This window comes from Homo sapiens, chromosome 2, assembly GCF_000001405.40.
Source record: "Homo sapiens chromosome 2, GRCh38.p14 Primary Assembly".
Classification (NCBI taxonomy): domain Eukaryota; kingdom Metazoa; phylum Chordata; class Mammalia; order Primates; family Hominidae; genus Homo; species Homo sapiens.
In genome coordinates, this window is record NC_000002.12 from 82,339,964 (window position 1) to 82,343,496 (window position 3,533).

Sequence of the window (3,533 nt, forward strand, 5' to 3'; positions counted from 1 at the left end):
ACAGTTTCAGTGTGATGTATAGCTATGAATGTATCTTTGTTATTTATGCTCAAACTTGAGCGTACTATTTTTAACCTGGTGCATCACACCTTTTGTGAATTCTGGAAATTTCTCAGCCTTCGTTATGTTTTACTATTATCTCTCCAGTGATTTTCTCTTCAGGATTTTTCAGTTATTTCAATATCATATGGAATTTGAGTATTCTCATTCTGCCTTCTATATTTCTTAAACTTTTTTCTTCTTAAACTTTAATTTCTTTTATATTCCTTTATCCATATGTGCAGAAGTTTTCTGATATATTTCCTAAGATCTTCCAGTTCACTCTTTCCGCTCCAAGAGTTTCAATTTCAAAGATACTTTCCTTCTCTTTTAAATTCGATTTAATTATTTTCATCACTGATTACTGATTTTTAAGAATTTCTTATACATTTTTAAATTTATTTAATTCAATTTTTGTTTCTCACATTATTTAAAGTATACTTTCTGTTTTTATATTCAGAAATGCAATATTTAGCTATTTTTTTTCTGAAGGTTTTAGTGATCTTCATCGTATTGTGTTTCTCCTGCCCATTCCTCATGTGAATGTCTTTTTTGTATTGTTTGAATGTTTGTAAGTTTTCACTATGACTTCATCCTCAGGGAGTGTTGTGCTACTGCCTCAACACCCTGGCTACCCAACTTCCACCCAATCCTGTGGTTGGATTGCATGTAACACATTCTACAAACACTGTGCAGAGAGTGTCTGCTGAGCTTCTGCAGGTTCTCCTGGGATTTCACTAGTCCCGACCATTATTTACATTTATTTCTGGGCAAGTAGAACCCCATATCCCAGTTGTAGCATAATTTTAGATTCATTACAAATATGTAACCAGCTTTGAATCTTGCTTACTGAAAGAAAACAAGAACAAAGGTCAACCTTTGCTTGTTTGGGTTTGTGGGCACATTTTTTCTGTTTTTCTATTCCTCTTTCACTGAGGAGAGCAAACCCAACATTTGTCATGCTCTCAGTTGTAGCTCTCTGCCTGTGCAGCCCAAGGCAATGTCGGCTTTCCTCTGAGGCATTAAAAGCACAGACACTACTCAGTAAGGGCTCTATATAATTGTCCTATAACCTTCATCCCCTGAAGCATTAGCTTATGAGCATGCTGCTCAGGATTTCAGCTCCCTCTTTGATTTCCGTAGTTAAAAATAGCTCTCCCTTCCTTTTTAGCTCAGCAATTAGGTTTTTTTAAAACTGTTTTTTATCTGTTTTGTATACAATTATTTATAATAGTCATAAATTGAAATAACCTAAATTTTCATTGATAGGTGAGTGAACAATAAACTCTGTTTTGTTCATATAGCAAAATATTTTACATAGGTTAAATGTATTTACATAAGTCTGTATGTATCAATAAAGAAAAAATAATATTTCAAAGATACACAACGTAGCTGCAAAAGAATAGGTACAGTATGGCATTAAATATGAAAGATACATACAACAATGTGATATTTTATAGGTACATGAATATCAAATCAATTGTGAAATCTATTTTCAGTAAGTGTCGACATTCCTCTCAGAAATTAGATAAGCTTGGAAAGATGAGGAAATGGCCATGCTGTGGTCGTTATGGTGGCCTTTACCTCATTTTATAACATATTCATAAAATAAAATGATACAAGCTAATACAAACAAATAGGACTTATCAAATCTATCACTCAATATTCAATATTAGCCAGATGTGGTGACTCACACCTGTGGTCTCAGATACTCAGGAGGCTGAGGTGAGAGGATCACTTGAGCCCAGGAAGTCTAGGCTGCAGGGAGCGATGCTCAAACCACTGCACTCTAGTCCAGGCAACAAAACAAGAGGCTGTTTTTAACAACAGCAACAACAACGAAACAACAACAATACCGTCAGTACTCCAGAGCACATTATGCTATTTTAATTTTATTTATTTTTAAAATATTACATAGATTTTTCAATTTTTCTTTACATTTTAAATATTTTAGAACGCCATCATTAAAATTATCTTTAAATAACATTTGAAATTCCCTTTCCATATGACAATTAAAGATAGGAAAATTTATCATATTTACACTATCCTTCATATTTTTACTTCCTCCTATTCCCAAATTTATTATCTACATTATTTTTAAAGTATTATTTCATTGTTTTCTCAAGTTTTGATGATTCTAATTCTCTTATATGTGCCTCCTATAACACCAAATGCTTCTATAACCATATAAATGAATGATTTTAACTTGTAATTATTTATTTAAATAATTCAGTACTTTCTGCAAACACTCATGTTTTAGGTTTTTTACTGATCACTTGGTTGACTAAAATGGATTCTCTAATGGTTTTCTTAGAACAATTTCATGGGAATTGTATTCCCTGAGTTATTACATGTTCAGAAATAATCAATTTGTCTTTCAAATTCAGTGGTAGCATCCATACAAATTTTATGAGGCCGTTTTTATTTCATTAGAGACCCAGTGGATATTGATCCCTGTTTTATAGGCTGCCTTCCTGCCTGTCTGCTTTCCTTCTTTCCTTCTCTCATTGAACAAATATTTGTGGCATTTCTAATATGCAACTAGCCCTATTCTTGGGACTACAGTCATAGCAAAACACAATAATGCTATAAAAATTATGCCGTCAGCATTAGTTTTATCTACTTTATAGGTTAAAAAAGTATTAGTAGGATGTCTATAATTGTTGAAGTTATTATTATATGCATTAACTTGGCAATGCCATGCTTCAAGGTTGGTCGTGCTATATCAACTTTCCATTAATACTATGAGTACTTTCTATTGTAGTATCCAAGCTTCCATTTTCATTGTCTCTTTAAAATTGTATTTTTTTAGTCTTCAATTTATTTTCTTTTTTTCTTCATGGCTGCACTTTCGACCTCCTTTTGTTCTGATTCCAATATCTAAAATATACGAAGGCAGGAAATAAGAGTGAGATAGGTAGGGAAAGTGGAGCTTAGTAATTGTTTTTATTGCATATAGTTAAAAGTTTAAAGAAACTGGGATTAAATATTTATAACTGTACATCATATAAATAGCCTTATAAGTGTAGCAAAGAATTAAATTTTTCTGAAATACCAGTGTGATTGGGAAGCTGATTTCTGCCCACTAATAATTTAGTGCTGAGAAACTTCTGACTCATATAACACCTGAATGCTTTTCCTTTCAAAATAATTAAATAAACAGCATAAAAATAATAACATGGGCTATATATACTTTGGATGAATAGGTTGATTACAAGACTGATCCCAGAAGATTTTGTAAGTTTAAGTGGATACATTACCATTATGGCAGTATAGAAGGACATCATAGAGCTAATATTGTCTCCAATCATTTTTAAATATGTGTTAATTTTCCTCTATTGCAAATATGCCATACTAGTATGTTGGCAAATCTCATTCAGTATACTAGAGTGGTACATGTTCTTCCTTTTGCTGCTTCCAACATTATTATTAATTTCTTAATTGCCTATGACTTTTTCCTTCTTTATTGATTGTATGTTTCCTCTCATCTCTTT

The 3,533-nt window shown here is 32.1% G+C and overlaps 1 annotated feature.

Annotated features, from left to right (window-relative positions):
* Nucleotides 629–829: a silencer, noted in NCBI's record as "peak3761 fragment used in MPRA reporter construct". NCBI's record gives its function as "represses an SCP1 promoter by STARR-seq MPRAs in K562 erythroleukemia cells {active_cell/tissue: K562}" and the evidence as "EXISTENCE:reporter gene assay evidence [ECO:0000049][PMID:32103011]".